Here is a 25,111-nt window from a genome sequence, read left to right as displayed (position 1 = left end):
GATCTTCTTCTGTCTTTCTGTGTATTTATATTATTGCACATGTGATGTTTATATATGAAAGAGCTCTGATTAATTGGCTTAAAAATAATAAGTGCTTAAATCAAATATTTTGTCAGAAAAGTAAAAAATGTAATGCTTTTTAGTTCACATGACTTCAGTAATCTTTGGGAAATAGAAACAGCTATAAAGGTTATTGGTAAAATAAAGACATTTGGTCTAAATTAGGCAAGTCAGATATTAGGTTTACTAAATACTTTAAGGTCATAAACTGCTTTGACTTTTGAAAAGTGTTCGACTGAACTGCTTCAGAGCTATTAGATTCTAAATAAGGCCTGGGGACAAGTGGAGTTACCCATGCCCCTGGCTATGCTGGAAAGAGTCAGACTTTATCTGCACTTCTGTCTGGTGTTCTAGGTTCCAGACTTGGTACATAATCAGAATCGCTCACTTACCAGGTTTTTCACCAAAAATAAAACTTGCTAAGTGAGGCTGGGTGCGGTGGCTCACGCCTATAATCCCAGCACTTTGGGAGGCTGAGGCTGGCAGATCACCTGAGGTCAGGAGTTTGAGACCAGCCTGGCCAACACAGAGAAACCCCGTCTCTACTAAAAATACAAAACTTAGCCAGGAGTGGTGTGAGTGCCTGTAATCCCAGCTGCTCGAAAGGCTGAGGCAGGAGAACCACTTGAACCTGGGAGGTGGAGGTTGCAGTGAGCCAAGATCATGTGACTGCACTCCAGTCTGGGTAACAGAGCAAGACTCCATCTCCAAAAAAATAATTAAAAAAAAAAAAAAAAGTTGCTGAGTGTTAACATTGTAACATATAATTGAGACTACTGAAGGAACAGTTTTACATGCAGGGGGTATAAAGAAAGTGAAATGTGTTTTTAGTAAAAGATCATAAGAAGTCATGGGAATGTGGATATTTTTGCCTAGATTAAAGGGTTAAAGAATTGTTTTAGGTTAGATAAGGATAAAGCTGAAGGTTTAAGCAAGTTGTGGAAGGTTTGTGAAAAGTTAATCTTGTAAAAGTAACTCTGTGTGTGAACTTACTGAGTAAAGTTAAAGGGGTTTTATTCAGTTTTTCCATAAGTTACATATTGGAATAAAAGCTCAACAGGGTTTTCTTAGAGCACTGATCTGCTCTTTAACAAAAATTTGTAAAGGGTTATAAAGGGTTTATGAGAATCTCACCTTATGATCAAACTGATTAAGATTAAATAGATTTGTCTATAAGGTTTTATTAAAGATTGGGGTTGACATTAATAGTATCCTAATTCAAGGGTGAAACTTGGCTTTTTCTCTTCAACAAGATTTTCATGTAACAATAACGAAATTGTTTCATATAAACAATTGTTTCATGTAAACAATTCGTAAAAACGAATTGTTTCATGTAAACAATAACGAAAGATTTTACTTTGCCTTTTGAATAAACTACTGAATAAAGAAGGGAAAAACAAGAGACAGATGGTTTGGAAAGCTAAGTCTTCCTTCTATCAATAAGTGAAGATTTTTGCCTTTTTAAAAGTTTCGAGTTAGTATTTTGACTAAATGAATGATTTATGGTGACCTAGAATTCTATTTCATAATATCAAGTGTTTCAAACCGTTAACATATTTTATAGGTGAAACCGCCATTGCTAAATTGTCACTGAGATAGTGAAAGAGATCTGACCTAACCGACTCCATCTTGCTTCTAATCTCCAAGCTGTCTTTGTTCATTCCTGGGTGTAGGCTGAACTATCTTTGGGAGAAACTTTGTTTATAGTTTATAATTTAAAACAAACATGGTAACAGTCCTTTCCCAAAAGAAACCCCTTTCTTGCCTGGGGACTAGACTGCCCTTATAGTCAAATTAGCAAATTAGCCACAGATTAGAAATTATGGCTTAGGAGTCATGCAGCTGAGGCTACAAGAGTCTGACCCTCCCTAAACTGCTCCTAAAATCAGTGCTTGAGGTATTTTGCAGCCCCTGCACTTGATGGATCAGCTGACACCATCCAGACTGACAAACTGGCTTATCTGGTCTTGTGGTCCCCACCCAGGAAATGACCCAGCACAAGAAGACAGCTTCAACTCCCTATGATTTCACCTCGGACCTGACCAATCAGCATTTGCAGTTCACTGGCTTCCCCCGACTCACCAAGCTGGTCTTAAAAATTCTGATCCCCGAATGCTCAGGAAGACTGACTTGAGTAATAATAAAACTCTGGTCTCCCACACAGCTGGCTCTGCATGAATTACGCTTTCTTGATTGCAATTCCCCTGTCTTGATAAATTGGCTTTGTCTAGGCAGTGGGCAAGGTGAACCCACTGGGTGGTTACACAGGCTTCCCAAAATCAAATTTCATCTTCAAAATCGTCTCTTCTGACCTCTAACTTTGACATGCTACAGAGGGCCCCTGAAGACTTTAAAAGAGGTCAACAGGATTATTTGACATGTTAAGTTACATGGGAAGCTCTGTAAAAGTAAAAAATAATGTTTAACATTCTTCATGTTATATTTTAGTGAATGATGTTAATATATGTTCCAAAATTGTATGGGATTGCTAAAATTCGAATATGTCTGGTATATGCTATCAATCATAATATGTTAAGTTATTTTAGACCACAGAAATAACCAAATTTCCTTGTCAAGTGTGGCTTTAATTATGACTATTTAAAGCCATTTCCACAGTTAATTGCTTAATGCTGATGCAGTTTCTGAAAACTTCACAAGCACACCAAATCCTAGAATATGGTGTCTTTTGGGAGGTTCATGAAAGGATGGAAAAGACCCTGAAAATCACTCTTGTATACAGGTTTCTGGTAACTTTAAAATCATATCATTTGGACTGGGTAATAATTCCTGGAACTTTAATGAAAAGACTGACTGGGTTACAAAACTGCTAACCCAAGTAAAATAAAAATTAATTGAATACCAAGAAAATACTTTGCAAGATTTTCACGCTAAATCAGCCAATACTGAAATTGTTTAGATATACAAATTGAATGAACTCCATGGTCTAAGTCAAATTACCTATGTTAACCCATCAGTTATCAGCATTATGTATCTAAATTGGAGAAGTAACTGGTATTCGAGAAGACATAAGTCCAATGTTAAGCATGGACTCATGGAGAACCAGGACAGTCACCTTGTCCTTTCTGACTCTTTAAAGATTTTATTAAAAGCTCTGCATTCCATGACTCATCACAGAAAAGATAAAATGACCCAAATTAAATATACATTGGCATGAATTCTAAATTGCTAAAATAGTTTATGACCAATGTTTGGTTTTTCAAACCTATACTCCTGGGAAGACAATCAAAGCTTCAGGTACATTTGGCTACCCAATGGGTCATTTAAACATTTATGGAGGGATTTCATTTAATTGTCATTTTCAGTGAATATTTTCTGGTTGTATGAAAGCTTTACCATGCAAGAGGACTGATGTTATAACAATAATTATGTCACAGGCAAAAAAACTTTTTATGGTTCACTGAGGACAATCAACTCCTTCACAATCTAGAACCCGAAGATTGGATCCTCTGAGACATCAGAGAAAGATTGCTTTAGCCATCCTCACTGCAGTAAAACTTCAGGACCTCGAGCCTTGGGTTCATAATCTCACAACTGAGAAGGGTCCCTCCACACTGTTGAACTGTACACCCATTGGAACCCTTAAGGTAAAGCTAACCAGGGAAGTTTCTCCCTAAGAAGAAGATGGCATCCTTGATGCAAAAAGCTTTTCCCAACATCACAGATCAAGACTTCTATTATCATGAGACTCTTATCTTTGAATACTTTTCCCCTTGCTTATGCCTGTATGAACAATACAAGTGGAAAAGGGGTCTGTTGTGTGCACTCATGGGGTATACTTTTAGTTATGAAGGATTTTGCAGCCAGCCTTATACATGGATAACCTTATATCTTGACAGATGAAAGATGAAGGCCCGATGTAGGTGAGAAACAGAAACTTTAATGGTACACACTTTGCCTCGTAATCAGTCAGAAACAGAGCATTGGTTCACTCCTCTTAACCCACATCATGGGTTAAAGAGAACATTACCAGGAGAGCTTCACTCTTCTAGAAGGGCATCATTTGTTAGGTCCTTTTTTCCATGGTTTCGAGTAAAAAAGGCAATGATGAGAAATGTTTCCCTCATGATAGGCTCTATAGCAGATTCTACTGTAAAAGCCATGGTTACACAGCAGACTTTAAATTATCTTGTGAAAATTATGCTAAATAATAGAACTGGCTAAACAGAAAACTATCTGTGTCACTGTTGACACTTGTGGCCTATAGAGAAATATATCAAAAGTAGATTACAGAGATTCAGTTGTAAAGGATTAGCAAAGAGACCACTTAATTAAGCAAGTCGACTCTTTAGCTCATTCTTTGATCTATTTAATTTTAGGTGATTTGGTTTATGGGGGTCTTGGGTAGGGAGGATACTCCAAACTCTTGCTATTATCCCCCTGATAGTTATAATAGTAGTCTCCCTGGTATGCTGTATTCTCTCAAAAGTTTTAAATGTTTGCATGCAGCCATCTCTAAAATGTCAAATGGTCTTTCTTCAACTGGAATGACAAGAACTGAAAGAAATGTGTGACCATGACGACATCGTAACCTATGAATGACCACATTGAGACCAGAAACCCAAACTGATGGTACTGAAAGTGGCACTAAAGCCCTTAGTTTTGGTCACACTTTCACCTAAGTGAGAACCTGACCCAAAAGGAGGAATTTTTAAACAAAATTATGAGAGGCCATTGTTTTGGACTGAGCTCATGCACTAGGCCCCAAAAGGACCAGACCAAACCAAAATGGAGTCACTCACGTTAAATGTGATGTAATCAAACTAAGACTTTAAGGAAACACACAGATCCTAGAACAGATCAGGTTTTGTTTTTCTCCTGTAAACAGGACGTTCCAGCATAAGGAGGTACCTTCTACTCAGTCCTTGCTCCTACCTTGCAAAACCCACTGTTCTACCATTTCCCAGTGGGTTTAAAGACCAAATAAGTATATTTACAATGGTTACAGTGACATCAATGACTAAAGTTTTGATCTCTCTAATTTGGGGTGAAATTGTTAAATCAAGTTTAGCCTAAAGCTGCCTCCTTACATATTTTAAGTTCAGCCTAAAGGTTTCTCTGCACATGGTGAACTACAACAAGTGGAAGTGTAAACAGACCGCAGCCTACACTTGTGCCAATCACTGAGTTTTGGCCAATCAAATGTAGCCAACTGTTCAAACTGTTCAAATAAGGCAAACACCAAGCTGTACCCAATCCAGCTCTTTCTGTACCTCACTTCCATTTTCTGTGTGTCACTTTCCTTTTTCTGTCCATCAGTCTTCTTCCACCCCATGGCTGTGCTGGAGTCTCAGAGTCTACTCTGGCTCAGGAGGCTGCCTGATTCATGAATCATTCATTGCTTAAACCCCTTTACATTTAATTCAGCTGAAGTTTTTTTTAATCAGTGGTATGATGAGAATAATCCTCTTGGGATGGGGATGGAGGCACCATGGCACAGAAGTCAATTCCGGGAGGATTTCTTTTTTGAACTATTCATTTATTTAGGAGTGCTTCTATAATGAAGTTACATTCAAGCTGAGTCTTGCTGACAGGTACACATTTCTTAGGTAGAGAAAAATGGACAAATAACATGCATAAAATAGGGGAAAGAAAGGATTTTAGGAAGAAACAAATCAGACAAAAGAAAAATGTTTTCAAGCAGTTGGGTGTGTTAGGAGAAGCTTCAAGGATCTGAAGCAGAGAAGTGAGGCTGTGGGTTGGGGCATGAGTCAGATGCTAATAACCTTCCCGAATTGCTAAGGAATTTGAACGTGATCTGATATGATTAATGCCATTAAAGGGTTTTAAACTGTGGACTTGCCTAATCGTATTAGACAGAGGACAAACCTGGGGCATGAGAGACCAGCGAGGAAGCCTATCCAACAGTTCTGGAGGGACCCAGTGAAGACCCACACTCACTGATAATAGGACCTAAGGGAGAACATTGACAGGAATGTTTAACTCTTTCCTTTCAGCCGGAGGTGAAGTCTCACAAAGTTAATGAGGCTTAAGCTTCCGGGAACCTCAGTTGTTCCGGCCTTTTCTAAGCCCTGGGAGTAGCTCCCGGAATATCTTCTTAGAGTCATATGTTTTTGTAAAAATATGCAAAATAAAATGTTTTAATTGCCATCAGTTAAATGTCTCTTTCCCCTGAAATATTCTTTCACTTTAAAAATCAAAGTATCTGTAATTTTGGAAGCAAGTACAATTTTTTGTTGTTATTGCTGTTCTTATTGATGTTGGAGAACCTCAGATTTTAATTAAACAGTGAGCTTTCCATTTAGTCTCCCCTGTTAATATAATAGGTAGATCTGACACTCACAGTTAGGGGTAGAGGAATTAAGTTGAACGATATGAAATTTCCATTGTAGTAAGTCAAAACCAGTGGATTCTTGACAATTTCATGAGGTTAAGCTAATATAATTAAACAGTTACTTTTTAAAATAGAAGTTTTGCTTGGCTTAGAGAACCACCAAAGACACTCTCTGGAAGCAATGTCAATTTTTGTTTTGTTTTGTGTGTTTGTTAGAGCAAGAATAAGGGTAGTCATCATCTTCCTTCCCCACTGGACACATTTATTTAACATGAGTTGAGAAAGTTGGACTTGCCAAAAATTATTTCTACAACCTTAACTATCATTAAAAAGGAAATAAACCTATCAAAAAAAATTGTTGCACTCCAGCCTGTGCAAGACTGTGAGACTCCCTTTCTTTAAGAAAAAAAAAAAAAGTAGTTGCATTTCACCTGTGTACTACGCTCCATGCTTTTCCACGGACAGGGCAGAAAACCAGTGCAGACATGACTCTTACCCAAGGAACTTGCATTCAATTTAAGGTTTTTGAAAACATACATTTAAGAAACTTAAAAACTGGCAAATGAAAAATCTTACAACTACTGGACCTTCTTTTGTCTTTCTGTGTATTTACATGTGTTGCACATGTGATGTTTACATATGAAAGAGCTCTGATTAATTGGCTTAAAGATGATAAAAACCACAAGGCCTTAAACAGTTATCAAATAACCAATAAAGACAAGAAGCACTGCCAGATTCCAGCAAAAGAAAGAGAGCTGAAGAGGAAAGCACACATGTACACACAGAGAACACACGATATCTTTCCCAGCAGCTTGGCCAAATTGGCTGTGTGCACTTAAGCAAGTCCCTTCAGCTTTCTGGGGATGATACTGTTACAGAGGTCTGGGCAGACAGAATGGGGTGAAATGCAGGTAATTTGCTCAGTCAGAACCAAACACCACTGGAGAAGTGATCATCCACAAGATCTGTCACTGGAGGAGCCATGGGTCCCTGCTAACCCCTGTTCAGTAGTTGAGTGGAGGTGGCCAGACTGAGGCTTTCCACAGAACATTTGTAGGGTGAGAGTGGACACTGGCAATTAACCCACAGTAAGTACTACCTTCATTTCAGGCATGATACTAAGAACTCACCCTCGCAAGGACTCAGTGCTCTCACAGAGACTCTTTTTATTATAGAGGGAAATTCAAATTCAAAGGTTCAGTAGTTTTTCCAAAAATTAGCTAGTCAGCTTTTATTTATTTATTTATTTTTATTTTTATTTTATTTTTATTTTCGAGACGGAGTCTTGCTCTGTCACCAGGCTGGAGTGCAGTGGCACGATCTCAGCTCACTGCAACCTCCTGCTCCCAGGTTCAAGCGATTCTCCTGCCCAGCACTAGTCAGCTTTTAGAAGTAGCATTTATGCCAGGGACATCTGACTTCAAAAGAGGGAGGAAACTTATACACATGAATATACACACAGACACACATACACAATCCATATTATTCTACTTTAACTCTCAGGTTGCTCAAGTTAATAAACCATTGATTACCAGTAATAATATAGCACCCAAATTACAACTAATAGACACTGGTTCAGAATGTTTGTTGTCATGGAACTTTCCATTCCTTGATGGAAAAAATGCTGTTTAGACTTTCATTCATTTCATCATATTCCAATATTATTTTTATCATGGGACCAATACAGGATGATCTGCTAAAAGGATTTCACTAAATCTCTCAGTTGGATGATTTGGGGCCAGTGATTTCTACCTCCTGGATATTTTTCAGGTTCTAGCCTTGACAATCCCCAGTTATCTTTCAGATCTAAACATTTCTGAAATCTAAATTCTAAATTATTAAAATACATCAAGTGTCCAATAAATTATAGAAATGTATGATTAATTCTTATTTTTAAAAATTATTTGGATTAATATTACCAAACTGAAGCGAAGGATCCTGATATACTTCTCTGTAAAATGAAGCAAACTATTCAAGCCTTCTTGTTGTACTTCAGTTTCTACCATACTTTACCCCCATGTCTCCCCACCCCACCCCCATCATTGCTAAGGCACGTAATCATCTACTAGAACATTTGTTTCATTTTTGTGGTGCTTGCCCTTTTTCCACGATCCTGTTGTGTCGCTTAGGGTAGTGATAACAAACAAGCCCCAAATTTAAATGATGAATGCAATAAAACTTTATTTCTAGCTTTAAAAACCCGATGTGTTCATTGGTGGTTGGAAGGGGCTTCCACGCAGTGACTCAGGGACCCGCTCTCTTTCCATCTGTGGCGCTGGCTCCTCCTGCAGCCTCAGAATCCTCTACATTCAGGTAGTGGACTAGCAGAGTGGGAAAGGATCGCCAGTTGTCTAAGCATCTGGGCCTGGAATCAACACTCACCCCTTATCCATCCATGGCACCACCGAGAGAGAAACAGCTGGGGAAGACCGCCTCTGCCTGGGCAGGCGATTCCCAGCAAAACTGCGCAGCACAGCAGGAGAAAGCCAGCCGCTCTATTCATTTGTCAGAAAGGTGAATGGCCTTGTCCTGGTGTAGGAGCAGCAGACCAGGATGTAGAGGCCTCAGGGTTCCCAAGTCCCCACTGCTTGCTACTGCCCAGAGTTGTCCCCTCACACTGACTCCTTTAAGACCTGGCCATCACAGGGCTCCTGGCCTTGGGCAACACTGAATTGAAATTTCTAGATTGAAGGTGCACCTTCCTATTTTGATAGGTAATTGTCAGGTTGCTCCTGCCCCAAACGGGCTGTACCTATTGTCATTGTCTGAGATTGTGGCCTCACTTCCTCCCTAATGCTGGATATTTTAGAACTGCTTTAAATTGTGTTGCTATGGTACCAGCAAGGTAGAGCTGGCTCCAGCCCCCATTTGCTGACCAATCAGAACCCCTCTCCTCTAAATCCTCTATTCACAGCCTCAGCCCCTTCTGTGGGTTTTTCTTGCATGCTTAGATTCAGTCGTGCCTTAAGGATAGTCACCTTTTCCTATCAAACATATTTCAAATATTTTCTCCCAGCCTAGGGCTGGCTGTTGCATTGTTTATAGTGATTTCATCCCATAAACGTTTGAAATACTTAAGAATTATTTAATTTCATCACATAGACCTTTGAAATTCTTACAGCTGAAATTAAGAATCTCTTAACCCCTCCATCCTTTTGTGCTTTTTGCTTAGGACGGTTCTGCCGGCTGCAGTGTGGTAGTGCTACTGTGCCTTAGGCTGTGTCTGACACAGGTATTTTCAAAGCAGTATTTCTTCGTGTTCCGTGTATGCACAGCAGTTCCAGAACCATACTGGTTTTGCAAAAAATTTTTAAATGGAATTGCTTGATCATAGGCACGTTTAGGAAATCCTGACAATCTCCCTCCCTGATCAAGCTTTACAAGTTTCTAGGAAATTCCTTTTCTCCACATGCTTGCCGGTACCTGACATTTCCACACTTTTGCTTGTTGGCCAAATGCTGGCTGTCAATCAGTGAGGCTGAGATCTTTCTCAAATGCCTTTTAGCCATAGGCTTCCTCTCCATGAAGGGCCTGGTCTCATTAAGTTCTCACTTTAATATAGCAGTGTTTGTCTTATTATCATTCATGTGTAGTTTCTGATCTATTTAATATCAGTCTCTTTTTTTTTTCTTTTATGGGTTTTACATGTTTATCTGCCATTCAGCAGTTTAGTTTTTTACTTTTTTTTTTTTTTTTGGCCATGGAAGTGTTGTTACCATAGTGCAATTAGTGGGTTCTTCCCGTATGATTTTAGGTGTTTTGTTTTTATTTTTGTTTTAATAATGTAAGGCCATCCCTAAACAAGATTTTTTTTTTAAGTTCAGGGATACATGTGCAGGACGCGCAGGTGTCTTACGTAGGTAAACTTGGGTCATGGGCGGTTGTTGTACGGATTATTTCATCTCCCAGGTACTAAGCCTAGTACCCATTTTTCCTGATCCTCTCCCTCCTCCACCCTCCACCCTCCCATAGATCCCAGTGTGTGTCGTTCCCCTCTATGTGTCCATGTGTTCTCATCATTTAGCTCCCACTTACAAGTGAGAACATGCGGTGTTTGGTTTTCTGTTCCCTGCGTTAGTTTGCTGAGGATAAAGAACTCCAGCTCCAACCACGTCCCTGCAAAGAGCATGCTCTCTGAACAAGATCTTAAAGCCCGCAGTTTCGGAAGGCCTTTCGCTCCAAAACATGTCCTATGGGTTATTCGGGGTTTCATCCATTCGGGCTTGGCTCACGAAATTAGAATTAATCTAAATGCAAAATTTCAGTTAAAATGGCCTGACTGGCAAAATGGGGTCTAATGGCAGGCTCCGCTCGGCGCCCGCTAGGGAACTCAGCCCCGGAGCCAGGCCCGCGCGGCTCGGTTCTTCAGCCCCTCTATTTTCAACCATTCAAACCGTGCTCTTCCCAAATCGCACGGAGGAGCTTTCTGGAAACTGAGGCCGGGCTGCAGTTTCCTAGGGACCAGGGCCTGAGGAGGTCTGGTGCCGCCTCCCGCGAGCCGGGGGGCGAGGGGCTGGGGGCCTCCAGGCACAGCGCTGCTGAAGAACTGGGTAGTGCCAGCAGCCACAGCGCCCAGCCCTGCCTCCGCCTTTCGAGAAGGAGCACACCTCTATCAACAAGCGGTCAGCACCGAAAGCCCGCGCAGGCGCAGGCGCAGACAGGGATTTGTTGTCGGAGGCGTGGCAGAAGGCGGAAAGCAAGGGCAGGCGGAAATGATTCAATTGGTTTAGAATTCAACGGTTACTTGTCATCTCCCACATGGTCTAGCGGTTAGGATTCCTGGTTTTCACCCAGGCGGCCCGGGTTCGACTCCCGGTGTGGGAATGACTGGACCTTTCTTTTGGAACACAGTGAAACTCGTAAATTTATAAGCCTTAGCAAGAAGCTTAAAAACACGACTGTGAAAAGCTACATAATCCTTAAGGATGTGTGGAGACCTGAAGACTCACCTCGTAGGTCACAACCCCGGCAAAACGGGCTGTGTAATCAGCATTGCTGTGTTTGCATACCAAATTTTCACAACAAATGATAATATTTAGGGGTCAAATCTTACAAAGGAATTCTTACGTTCTAGGCAATTCACTGTTCTCTATGCCCCCAGTGAGTGTTTCCGGCCGGCAGATAGCGAGATGGTGAACAGGATGGAGGGACAAGAAGGAGCATGGAAGATCCCATGCCACAGGAGCCTCCCTCTGAAGTTTTTTGAGGACTGAGAAGGGAGGGGAGGCGCTTCCTGAAGCAGGAGTCACTAGGGCTGGGATATAAAGAAGTGAGAGGTCTGCAAGTAGAAATATAGCTTCAGTAGAGGTTTGCACAGGGACGTAGAGGGCAAGGACAGAAACCAGATCCCATTCACCAAGTCAGCTTTCACAGAAGTTGGGGAAACTGAGGCACGGGATCAGCCTCTGGATAGAATCACACATGTGGCTAAGTTGAGGTCAATACTCTTAGCAAATGCACATTTTCAGAGGTAGAAAGTTCTTGAAACTTTCTTAGCTTCTAAGCCATTTCCCAAATGGGATTAAAATATTTCTTTCCGTGCTTAGGCCTGGATACTCTTAACCATAATGTAAGCCTGTGTGAGTAGTGGAGAGCCAACCGCTTCCAGAACAGGCAGGGGCATCCTTTGAAAGTTCTATTGTTTGAAACAATCATTGTGCCACTCACTTGGATTGACCAACTTGTGACTACTCCCAATGCTGATGCTTCAGCCTAATTCGGACAATCAAAATCAAAATCAAAATCAAAATCCGTCAAGAAAGCATGAACATGAACCAGTGAGAGCCTGGACCATTGATAAACCAACAGCATGGGTTGCAGACAGGGATACGATTTTATGTGGGGGGAAATTGTATTATTCATGCAGAGATAGTCACTTCCATTCCTTGACCGAATTTTAATTCTATGCTCTCAGTTTGTGTTGGAGGCAATATAAGATTTGGTCCAAAAGATCATTTGAATCCTTGCAATTATTGCATTAGACATTTCTATTATGTGACATATGACAATTCTTTTATGATTGAGTTCTGAAAAACTTCTCCTGTAAATATCTCTCATACTGGTTGCCATCTGAGACATACTTACAGGGGATGCTTTACAGAAACCCCATCTCTACTAAAATACACATACACACACACACAAAAACTCAATCTTAAAAGATTGTGTAGTGGGAGTGGGAGGCAACTCTCCATTCCCACTTCCATTACACAACTCCAGGGTACCATTGGCTTTGGCCAGAACTAACTTGTCAGCCTCATCCAGGGTTGGCTTCAGGGACAGCTATAGATGGGACTTTGTGCCCCACCTTTTGAAAAAGTAGATGAAAATGTTTCACTTGTTTCATAAATCCAGCAAGCTACTCTGAGCGTTGTATTGTACAGAAATGAAACTCAAGTGGAAGGCTGGGAATGGATGCCAAGTAGCCAAAAGGGTTGACTGCTCTGGTCATTTTCTTATTTGTTTGTGTCCTCTTTAGAATCTTTTATAGTATTCTCCTTTTTGAGGGGCCTGGATCTCTGCAAACCCCATTCCCCAGACTCCCTTTCCAGTAGACATCGGGTTAGCACCTGCCCCAGGGAGGTTCTGTTGGAAGATTGGAATATATCAAGAAAGCAGAGCTTCTGATGGTGTCCTTGGCAGCAGACATTCCCTGATGGCTGCCAGCAACTATGCAATCCAGTGGCACTGAACATTCTGACAGGGATTGTCATCAGCTAAGAGCCACTAGCAGTGGCAGTAGTGGGCAGCCGTGGGCTCCACGAGCCAGGAAGCTTCAGCAGAGCATAAGTGGATTTGACAGTGGTGTGGTCCCAGTGGCAATGGTGTGCCCAGCAGAGGTCTTGCATGGCAAACTCCTACCTGCAGGTAATACCATCCTCCTTTGTTGTTCTTTCAACCCTAAGTGAATGGTGGCATCTGCAGTTACTAATAGCTGAATAATCTAATTGTTAGCCCCTTTTGCTCCTCTAGCTCCTCAAAAAAAATTAGCAACCAATTTCCTCTGTTAGATTTACCTGTTTGAAGTATCTGTTTTCCTGGCTTTAGACCAACCTATGCAAGTGTTATTTTTGTGTAAATTGTCATCTACCATTATGCGCTCAGCCTTACTGACTTTTGGGGGAGGGGGAGGGTGTGCACAACTTATTCTATGTGTCAGAGAAGTTTCTCAGGGAAATGATATTTCAGCTGAGACCTGAAGGATGAGTTAGCAAGGTGAAGGGGGCTGTAAATGTGCATGAGTCAAGTTATTCTCAAGATCTGTTTGTCTTTTGCACAGGTCAAGTGGACAAGTGAATAATTGGGTAGATGATAGGAAAATCTCTGCATCTTTCAAGTCTTTGTTGGTGGCACAAATCTCTCTGATTCCCTCTGGGAAGCAGGATCACTTTGGCTTTACCATTTTGATAAGAAGGGGGAAGTTCTGGGAACACCATTTGTCTTTTCTCACCATAGTAGTCCTCACTCCAAGATTCCGGGAGCACTACAATAATGTCAGTTGCCAAGTATGTATATCTGAATTGTACATAATGGAATCAGGTTGGTCTGCAACCCACAGGAACCATGCTGAGATAGGTTGAGGCCAAAACATCATTTACTTACTAAGCTCCAAGGAACCACACAAAAGTATTGGAAGAGAAGGAGGAATAAATAACAATAAAAATTCTGAGCTTCCTACCTGCAGCAAGGGATTGAAGCAGTGCCACATCAAAATCAGTGTAAATTAATAGAACAAATGACCACAGGTCCTCTGGAGAATGGGGAAGGGGGATCTTTACAACATATTCCTGTTGCAGTGTAGAGGGGCCATTCTTCAAGTAGACCAAGTCTCCCCTTCCTCCAGTGGAACTTTGGACTGTGAGCTGACTCAGTTCTTGGTACTGGATGACACAAAACATCTCCATTCCAGTAAATCGAGTCATGTTTCTGGCCACCAGACTTAGAGTTTTAAAACTGCATAGACCACTCGAGCATACTGGCTCAGATCTATAATCCCAGCACTTTGGGAAGCTGAGGTGGGAGGATTCCTTGAAGCCAGGGGTTCAGGGCTGTAGTGAGCTATAATCGGGCCACTGCACTCCAGCCTGGGTGACAGAGCAAGATCCTGTCTCTTAAAAAATTAGAAATCAATCAAATAAAATTGCATATATCAAACAATCATTCGGTAGACCACCCATTTATTTCATTCTTAGGACATCACTGCCAAAGATCCCTGCTGCCCCATCAATACTTCCGTAACTGAGCCCATTTTTTCCTGGTGGTTTTGCTGTATCTAATACTTAGACCCTGCCACTCTGAGATTCCGTGATTCCCATTGAACCAGGAAGCACTGTGGATTTTCTCACCAACCTGGCTCATGGAAGATTGCTACAAAAGAGTTTTCAAGCATCTGGTGCTCTCCTCACCAATGCATTTCTCAACACTTTAATGAAGAAAGTCTGGTCCCATCTGGGAAATGCAGTGAATGGGCAGGTTTGTGGGTCACACTTGATAAATCTCACTCCAATGTAACTGTGTGCCTAAGCCTTTAAAAGTGTTAGTCCACCTCGCACCATGGGTGTACAACATTACAAACCCCAATGAAAGTGGTCACTGTTAAGTCCACGTTTCAGTCAACTAACGACGGAAGCTGGGAGGTAGAACTACTCCCTGACTCTCAAACTAACATGTGGAATCTACTTTGATAAATTTGGCCTAATTCAATGTTATCTTCTTTCTCCTTGGTCTAGCAATCTTAGGACCCATTTCCTTACATCTTCTTTAACTTCCTTCTAATATAAATTGGCACGTTGTTACAACTCTTTCAATGCTATCTCATGCTTGGTTACACTTTATACTTGACCTCCTAATTTCAGGTCTGGAAATATTGACAGATGGTGAGGATAGATCTGGTAGAGAACTGGCATTCTTTTCAACTGCTATGGGGAGGCACTTATTGAGTCCCTTGGTGTGCCAAGTGTGGTCTGTGAATCAGCAGCCATGGTGTCGCCTAGGAGCTTGCTAGAAGTGCAGAATCTCAGGCCACTCTCAAGGCCTAGTGAGCCAAAATGTTGATTTTGACAAGATCCTCAGGTGATTCTTATGCACACCAAGGTCTGAAGAGCACTGATCAAGGCTTCAAGCAAGAGAAGACAATCTTTCTCAGACAGAGGAAGGGGAGGCCGCTTCTACTGGCAAAAAGCTCAAGGAAATTTGGGGCTTCATGATTCTCAGATTCATCTGAGCCAACCGAAATATCCCCATTCCATTTCTTGGAGGCCCCATTCTTTCGAAATTAGAGCCCTGACTTTCACTTCAGCGATATGGACAGGCTATGAATCTAACTTATATTGAATTCTGTGACTTGCAGAATCAGATTATGGGCCTGATTTTCAACTACATCTCTTATTTCTTGTGGCTAACAAAGGACAATGGATTGTCTGAGGATCATCTGAGAGCCATCACAAGATCTCTTATTCTCTGATCATATATTGAACTGAGAATTTAAGAATTTTTGTAAACCCTCGAGTGCAGTCAGAAATAGCCAGCCCCCCATCACAATGGTTTATTGTAGCAGTCTCTTGGTTCCAGTACCTTAACTTTCAGAGACCCTTTATCCTACGTAATGCCAAATTATAATTTAAATAAATATTTGGCCAGATGCAGTGGCTCACACCTATCATCCCAGCACTTTGGGAGGCTGAAGTGGGGGGATCACCTGAGGTCAACAGTTCGAGACCAGCCTGGCCAACACGGTGAAACCCCATCTCTACTAAAAATACAAAAATTAGCCAGGCATGGTGGTGGGCGCCTGTAATTCCAGCTACTCGGTAGGCTGAGGCAGGAGAATCACTTGAATCTGGGAGGTGGAGGTTGCAGTGAGCCAAGATCACGCCAGGGCACTCCAGCCTGGGCAACAGAGTGAGACTCCATCTCAAAAATTAATTAATTAATTAATTAATATTTTGCCACTACATATGTGAAATACCAGTATCTCATTTTCCCCAGGTAATGAGGTCATTACTGTATTTATGCCCAAGGAAAGATAAACAATCTTAACTTTTTCATCATTTGGGGTCTGTTCCCTGAGTACAGTGTTGCTTGCAAAAGCTGTATCCATGGATGTCTCACTAGAAAAGCAGAATTCACTTTATTTATTTATCTTTTTGAGGGGACAGAGTGTCGCTCTGTCACCCAGGCTAGAGTGCAGTGGTGCGATCTTGGCTCACTGCAAACTCCGCCTCCTGGGTTCAAGCGATTCTCCTGTATCAGCCTCCCGAGTAGCTGGGACTACAGGCACTTGCCACCACACCTGGCTAATTTTTGTATTTTCAGTAGAGACAGTGTTTCACCACGTTGGCCAGACTGGTCTCGAACTCCTGGACTCAAGTGATTTACCTGCCTCAGCCTCCCAAAGTGCTGGGATTACAGGTGTGAGCCACTGTGCCAGGCCAGAATACACTTTAGGTATTTCTAGTAGAGGAAGTGACCAAAGAGCAAAGAGGGAGGAAGTGGCACTAGCAGCACTGGGGAGCATCTCACCACTGACATTGTTAGAGTCTGCAGATAATACTACTGGAACTACCCAGGCTGCTGATGTTGCAGTCAATCAGCTGCTTGTGATGGCCACCGTGAGAGCAGGCCACTCACTACACACCATCTCAGCTTCTGGAAATGCTGAATCTCATAGGCAGCTCTGGCAAATTCTGCTGGAAATGCCAAAGTTACCAGAACCTGGAGTCAATCACTACTCTAGAAAAGAGAAGGAAAAAAATTGTCTCTTCCTCCTACCTTCCAACCTCCCATCAATGATCCCAAAGGCGAAATTGACAGTGCCTGCAATTGACGTAACCTAATCAGGAGCCAGCTGGTCAGGTGAACTGGAAATATTTGTAAGATTACAGCTCCCTGAAATACAGAGCAGAGGAAGCAAGCCTAACATGTATCATACTTTCTGTTACTACTTGTTTGTCTGCTGGTCTTCTCTGAAACTGTAAGTTTTTGGTTTTGAGCTTATGTAATGAACTAGTCCCAAAATATACTGCTTACAACAAAACAAAACAAAACAAAAAACGTTGTTCTGCTTATGATTAAGGAAGGGCTCAGCTGTGTGGTTTGCTGCTCTTCCCCGCAACATTTACCACGGTCACTCCCTTGGCTGGATTCAGCTGGTAGTTGGATGGAGCTGATGCTAGTACCTCACCATGTGGCATCTTGTTCTCCAGCACTTCTCCACATGCCGTGGGAGTGTGTCTCTGGGTAGTTGCACTCCTTACATGGTAGCTGGCTTCCAAAAGGAAGAAAGCAGGAATTTTCACTTTTCTTAAAAAGGTAGGCTCAGAACTGGCCTAGTGTGACTTATGCTATATTCATTCTATTGGTCAACATACTCCCAGACCAGCCCAGTTTCTGGTTGGAGAAACAGACTTTATCTCTCAACAGACGAGGGACATGTGCTTGCACAGAGAGGAAGAATAATGTTGGTCATCCTCAAGACAAGCTACCACATCTACGCAGGTGTTTGTCTTGTTTACAAATCTCTTCCAAGCCTAACTCTCTACATAGCTCATTTTGAGTGTACAGTGAATATTTCTTGAAAGGACAAATAAATGAAGGTCTGGAATTATTTCTTCTGTGGAAGGAATAGCCTTCCTTCTAGCAGGCAGTGACATCCACAGAACTTATCCAATTTTCCTTTTTGCTTTGGCTACTAGGAAGTTGAGTACTAAAAATTTAGTGCCCAAGCACAATAACAATGTTACTCATAGCTTCTCAGTATTGTCTCTTCTTGTCCTCTCTCTGGGCTCTGATCTTCCTGCCGTGCTTTGCCTGTGAGTGCCCTGTGCAGGTATGAACAAAGGCTTTATTTGCTGCCTCAGTAAAGGAAGCTTTATTTTTGTTGATAAAGCAAAATGCTCATAGATAACAAAAAAGCAATTGACCTTTTATTGAAGCTTTCTTTATTAAAAGATATGAGTTCCTCTTAAGGTTCCCTGAGGGAGGAGCAATGCAACTGACATTGTCTTGTGGCAAATAATCTAAAATGGGAAAGAATTGGATGTGACTCATTTTTCTAATATTTGCATAAGGTGCAAAAACCCTAGGTACTCATCAGCTGATTCATCTTCATGGTTTGCATATCATACTTTTCCTTATAGACCGATACTTATTTTGCTGTTTGTTTTTTGTTTTTTTGTTTGTTTGTTTGTTTGTTTGAGATGGAGTCTCGCTCTGTTGCCCAGGCTGGAGTGCAGTGGTGTGATATCGGCTCACTGCAAGCTCTGCCTCCTGGCTTCCTGCCATTCTTCTGCCTCAGCCTCCCAAGTAGCTGGGACTACAGGTGCCTGCCACCACACCTGGCTAATTTTTTGTATTTTTAGTAGAGATGGGGTTTCACCGTGTTAGCCAGGATGGTCTCGATCTCCTGACCTCATGATTCCCCTGCCTCAGCCTCCCAAAGTGCTGGGATTACAGGTGTGAACCACCGTGCCTGGCCTGTTTGTTTTTTTAATAAAAATAAATGATTCATGGCAATGTATTAGCAATTCCTGTGAATTATTTAGAAAGGGGGTTAATATAATATTCACATTAAGATGTAAATAAGTATACAGGAAATATACTACCCAAGAGAGGATGCAAAAGCATAAACGTATCCTGAGGGCTAAATTCCAAAATTCATGGCCTCATCGCCGCACTGTTTTTGACTTTGACTACCCAGGAGCAAAACCCTGAAAGCACACATCCTCTTCCAGAAGGTCCAGATAGATGGTGAGAATCTCAGTGAACATGTTCTGTTCTCTCAGTTTAATATACCCAGAGATGATTATCAATTACAATGGAGCTAAATGTTCACAGTAATGCTTATTGTAGGTAAGACCAAGAGCTCATCCAAGAAGCATGGAATGACTGTATTCTAATTGTTCAGCACTATCAGTATGTGAACAGCCCAAAGAAATGACCCAATTCTTACTCTCCAGGATGTTTTTGCAAAGTGTAGTTATTAGAGGAAAGAAAAGTTAAAATATTAATAATGCATACATTCATTTTGTATTTCACCCACACCCACGTAGGAAAACCTAAAAGAATCAGTTGTCTTCATTTTTACTCATATTTAGTATGTTATCAATCATGGTGTTCCCCTGAGTGGATCTTCTAAAGGGCTCCCTGCAATTTCCTCCTCCTCTTTCTCACTATCATGGCCTCAGTTCTGCTTCCAAAACATCCCACCTACACAGTCGTCAGCCTTCTGGATGTCTTCAACATTCAGGGAGAATTTGGGTTGGAAGGGGGTCATGTGGCAGCCCCTGACGCATCCTCTCTGATTTTCCACTGCTGTGTCTACGAAGACTCCTTAAACAGAAACATCATGGCCAGAAACTATGACTCTTTCCAGCATGCGCTTTTATCTCTGATGACTACACTCCAAGCATCCTCCAAGCATGATCAACAGGCTGGGTGATGCCACCAGAGATGGAGTCTGTACCCCTCCAGCAGGTATTGAGATGACAGTCACAGGGTGATTGGCTCTCCTCTGCCCCCTGTCTTCTCTCCTCTCCACCTCTCTGTGCCTCCTTCCCTCAGCCACCACTTCCATTTAAATTAAAGACACATGACCTACAATGGAGCAGCCGTCTCTCAACAGCAGGGCAGGACTGCACGAGAGGGAGACATCACCCTCTGGAGGGGGCATGATCAAAGTGACTGGTGGTATTTTCAGGTACACTTGCCTGGATCTTCCAATGTTTTCATAATCTATCAGCATTTAATATTATTCTGTTTTAGCACTTGCCCTCATTTTATCTATTGCTATCTTGAACAAGTCTGAATTTGTCTGATTTTGTTGTAAACATTGTACAGATTATGTTATCAACTATTTTTAAATGTTCTTAGGGAGAGAACAAAATGTAAAACAAAAAATGTTAATGAAAATCTCTGAACAGCAGTTACGGATGACTTTCCAGTTCTTCTCTATACTTGTCTGTATTTCTGAATGCTGTTCAATGAACAAGTATCATTTTCTAGACTCAGAAAAGGCTATGCTAACAAATTAGTGTATAGCTCTTCATCTTATGAGGTGTCAGGGCAAGAGTGGGGTGGGAATGTGAGAATGGTATCCACGTAGAGGGTGGGCCATCATGGGGTTTGGTGAAGGGAGTTTCCTCTTGGAGGAGTGGCCAAGCCTGGAGCATAGAGATCAAGCAGCATTAGGAAGGCAGTTATGCCTGGGAGGGAGAAAATGGTGGCAGAGATGGAAGACTGATCAATAGTGGAGGATTGAACAAATCAGTACATATATAAGGATAATGGGAAATAGGTTTCTTACTCTTAGAGAAGAGAGTTACAAATATGAGAAAGGGAAAAACTATAAAGAACACTGTGGATTTGGATTGGTATTGGAAGTATTGGTGTGAACTCCTGGTTTTTAATATGGATAAATAAAAAGATGATGGATAGATGATAGAGAGATAGTCTAATGATAGAGAGATAAATAATAGATGATAGATAATAGATGATATAGACTGATAGATGATAGACAGAGAAATTAATAAAGATGTACATGTGTATGTACATACATTTGTTCCCTAGCTCTGTCCCCTGAGAGAGCTTGAGAACATTAGCACCCTAGTACCAGTGAGCACAGCTAGTGCCCATGTGTAGTGAAAAATTTAGCCCTGCCCAAAGAAAAGTTCTGATCTTTGTCCCCCAGCTTCTGAGAGGCAATCTCTGGATCCCTGGAATATGATGCCTGATAAGATTGTGTCTGTTTTCCTGGGGTCCTTGGATCATACTGGATAGCCTAGCAATGTGATTTAGGGCAGGCACTGACCACATCCATAATACTCAACGTAGGGCTGGCCATCCTAGAAAGAACAACAATGTGGCTTAGGGTGAGAGCTTTTGGTCAAACAATATTAATCTATTTGGAGACTGAAATTAGCCATATGGGCAATGAATAATCGATCATGCCTACTTCAAGCTCCCATAGAAACTGTGGACACTGAGGCTCAGGTGAGCTTCCCTTGTGGGCACTACTCCTGAGTATTGTCTACACAGATACCAGTTCAGCAACATATCCTGATTGCATGAAAAGAGGAAAGTAGGAGCCCTGTAAGAATAGCTATGCTGCTGTGAAAAAAACTGTATTAGAGTGTGTTAACACTATTCCTGGTGTGAGACAATTCATGTTTCTTCCTCTGTTTCTACTACTTATATTTTCTAAATGTTCATAGTAAGCATGTGTTAATTTCAGAGTCTGAAATACACGCATGGAAGAACTAGAGGTTTCCCATTAGCTGCAGAGTCAAGCCCTCCTGGGAGGCACATGGCCCCATGAACTACATGCTTACAGCTCCCCAGCCCCTGCTTGTCCTGCTTCTCTGCACACACCTGCTTTATAGCCATGCTTCATGTCTCAGATTCAACGATATCCTGTTCTGGTTTGTGACTCTTTGCTCTAAAACAATCTCCTCTCTTTTCTGCCTAGTTAACACTTGCTTCTTAAGCTCCCATTCACATTTCATTTTCTCCTGGAAAATTGTCCCAAAGCCCCCAATTCTGAGAGTTCTCTATCCTCCCATATTCTACCGTACATATACCTCTGTTATAGCGTGTTTCCCCTGACGTCTTGTGGTACTGATTGCTCATGCTGACCTCTAGATGTCAAAACTTTGGAAGCGGTTACTAGATCTTACTGTCTTTGTGTTACCCACACCTACCCAGTCATCGACACAAGGCCAGTCCCTAAAGTGTTGATGAGTGATGGATGAATTAACTGACATAATTATAATTCAGTGAAACTCAGCTAAAATCACCTAGATAGGCAGATTTTGCTTCGTTTATTCATTCCTTCATTTACAAAAATGTAGTGAGCCCCTTTTATGTGCCATGAAATGAGTTAAGAGAAAAGATATTTTCTTTGCCTCCAGGAGCTCACAGTCTAAAAGGCGAGATGAGCTATTAACCATTAACATAGGACATGGCGAGTGTGTACAAAGACAGAAGCGTGGGGCGATGGTATCACATAGGAGCACACCTAACCCATCCCGGAGGTGGGGGATTGAAGCACCCAAAGCCAGCGCATGGAAGCCCATAGAAGCCAGGCCTGGAGTGGATGGTGTGAATGCAGGGCCTTGGGAGGCCTGGGTCTTCACCTCAGCTTCCTGTGCGGTGGACATGTCATCTCCTTATATTGTCCGAATTTCCACAACTATAGAAAGAGTCTGTGTCTCTTCTTTTCCATGCATATCAAAAGTAATTGTCTGCTGTCTCCTCTAGACATTGCCAGCGCGTTTTCATATCTGTACATACCTGGGTAGGGGGGCTACTGGGCCTCCTGACATGAGGTGTTAAGAACCAGAGAATCTCCTGCTGAAATAAATAGGTTACCAAAGGAAAAAAAAAAAAAATATATATATATATATATAATATATATATTCATCCTACATAGCAGACATTAAAACACTTAACAAAACCCACCAGCAATAAAAACGATGTATTAAGATTTTTTAAGCCAGTGGTATTTTTGATGTTACATGACAGCCTTCCTTTGTGGTGACTGCTGTATTTTTTAGCCTTGCTTTGATCACGGCTGCTGGAGACAGCTGTTTCTATGCTCCCCGAAAGCATGTGGCACCGACATTCGTCATGTGGTTCTGGATAGCCGCCATCCGTCATCTCCTCTCCCAGTGAGTTTCACTCTCCCATCACTCTCTGCATTCTCTGATCAGTTATCCCAGTGTGGGAAAAACAAATCTGCAAGCCAGCCTCCTGATTTACCACATTAATCTATTATTCAATAATAACGTTCCTTACAGAGCTGCATTAATTAAAAGCAAGCACCACAAGAAAACTGTCACTTCGAGTGTCATTTGTCACAACAACCTGATGTTCTTTTCTTTCTGTCATTTTTAGAACTTTGGTTGCCATGGTAACCCATAGCAGCTTTTATATATAGCATCACTTATACTCAGTTAGTTTATTTTATTTCATTTTTTTGGTACCATCAAGAAGACAAGCTGTTTTTTTCCTCCTTTTAACAGAGCTTATAATGTGGTGGAATAATCAGGCCTAATGACAGGTTAATCCACAAAGGAATATTACATGTTAAATGAAAAATTATTATTCTACATCTGTATATTAAAATTCACTGTTTAAAAAATACTCTCTAAGAAGAAGCAAGTCCAGGTTTAGTCTCCTAGGTACTGGCTCATTAGAAGTTCGTAGCCCTAGGATGCAATTAGTATCCTATAAAATAGCAGACAAGCAAAACAACTGCAGATTCAAGGGAAATCCAGGTATGCATAACAAGCAATACTCAGCTTCGAGCTGGCTTCTTTGCCTCTCTGGGGTTGTGGGGCTCGCTGACCCTGCCCAGGCTTCTTCTGGGGCGCTCAGTTCTTGCTACCCACCCACCAAGAGCCAACTCCAACGTGTGCTGAGAGCAAAGCCTTCCTGGAGCTGGTAGTCAGAAAAAGTGGTCTTCAGCAGGGTACAGATAGCCTTCTAGAAGAGTCCACACTACTTGCCAAGCAGGGAGAGACTGAGTGGGAAGCAGCACAGGCAGATACTGTGTCTGAATGTGGTATCCAAGCCAGTGCACCCTGTGTCCACAGGCCATTCTCAATTTTCCCCTAAGCCCCTTCACCTTCTAATCCTGCCAGTCTCATTATTTCTAAGCTCATCCGAGTCTATTTTCATTTTGTTTCACCTTCTAATTGTAAGCCCCTGGCCTGAGCTGATCCTTCTTTTTTCTCCCATTCAAATCCTACTATCCTGAAACAATCCAAGTCCTGTTTCCTTGGTGACTCCTAACACTTTAGCTCTTGGCAACCTTTTAATTTCTTTCTTAATCTTCATTTCCCTGAAGGACTGCAGCACTCAGCAATTAAATATATGCCCACATTTCATTTAATTTGACATATACTTATTGGGCATTTACTACATGCCAAGCCTTTTATGAGGCACTGTGGAAAAAAAAGATGAACAAATTGAGGTTCAGATTCAAAAGATTTTAGTATAGTGGGAAAAAAACAAAATGAGAACAAGATCATTCCAGTATAATTTAGTAAAAAAGATGTTCACAATGCAGACAAATGTATAAGCCGTATGTAAAAATATCTGGAGTTTCCTGGAGAAAATAATGCCTGAAATGAGTCTTCAAAGATGAGAAATATTTACGAAGCTAAGAAAGAGGACAAGGGCATTCCAGGCAAGGGAACTGCATGGGTAGGGATCCAGAGGCTGGGGATGTCAGAGGCTCCACAGACAATGCAGCAGGCATTGCAAGAAAATAAAAAGAAGGAAGGAGGAAGCTAGGGACAGGAACCACGTACTAAAGATTCTTGTTCATTTTGTACAAGAACTTGGGCCTTATTTGGAAAATAAGAAAGAGCCATTAAAAGGTTTTAGGCTTGGGAATGACATGTTTGGATTTGTGTTTAGGTTGGAATGTTGTATATTTCTGAGTCCATCAATGTTTCCTGGTATACTGTTATATTAAGCTTATTTCTTCTATTAGGTAGAATTTGAAAATATAATTCTTTTTTAACATTTTTTTATATCTAGCACAATTTAGAATATATAAAAGTAAGAACTCTAGAAATATATGAATCTTCCAAGAACCACTCTTCCTGATTTTCTGTGACTTACTCAGATAGCCACAAGAGTGGTTTACACAGAAGTCCTAGATACAAAAGCATGATGAATGGAAACAGCTCACTGTCAAAAACATCTAAGGTAGATTGATCGAAATGTTTGGGATGC

At 41.5% G+C, this 25,111-nt stretch overlaps 1 long non-coding RNA gene and 1 other non-coding gene across 3 annotated transcripts in view, besides 1 other annotated feature; both read left to right on the top strand.

Moving 5' to 3' along the window:
• Nucleotides 1-3,800, top strand: part of LOC105370739 (uncharacterized) — a 53,368-nt gene extending 49,568 nt beyond the window's left edge. For both annotated transcript variants that reach the window (XR_932004.3, XR_932005.3), the window contains one exon: nucleotides 3,456-3,800. This is a non-coding gene — a long non-coding RNA (uncharacterized LOC105370739). The remainder of the gene's footprint in view (nucleotides 1-3,455) is intronic.
• Nucleotides 10,819-10,888: a silencer, noted in NCBI's record as "silent region_6266". NCBI's record gives its function as "represses an Ori minimal core promoter by ATAC-STARR-seq in GM12878 lymphoblastoid cells {active_cell/tissue: GM12878}" and the evidence as "EXISTENCE:reporter gene assay evidence [ECO:0000049][PMID:35858748]".
• TRE-TTC2-2 (tRNA-Glu (anticodon TTC) 2-2) lies at nucleotides 11,126-11,197 on the top strand. The gene has a single exon. It is a non-coding gene; the product is annotated as a tRNA-Glu (tRNA).
• Nucleotides 11,198-25,111: the final 13,914 nt, after the last annotated feature.

The sequence above is a fragment of the Homo sapiens genome, chromosome 15 (genome assembly GCF_000001405.40).
Source record: "Homo sapiens chromosome 15, GRCh38.p14 Primary Assembly".
Lineage (NCBI taxonomy): Eukaryota > Metazoa > Chordata > Mammalia > Primates > Hominidae > Homo > Homo sapiens.
The sequence above is the reverse complement of the archived record's forward strand: the minus strand, read 5'-3'. Positions and strand labels throughout refer to the sequence as shown.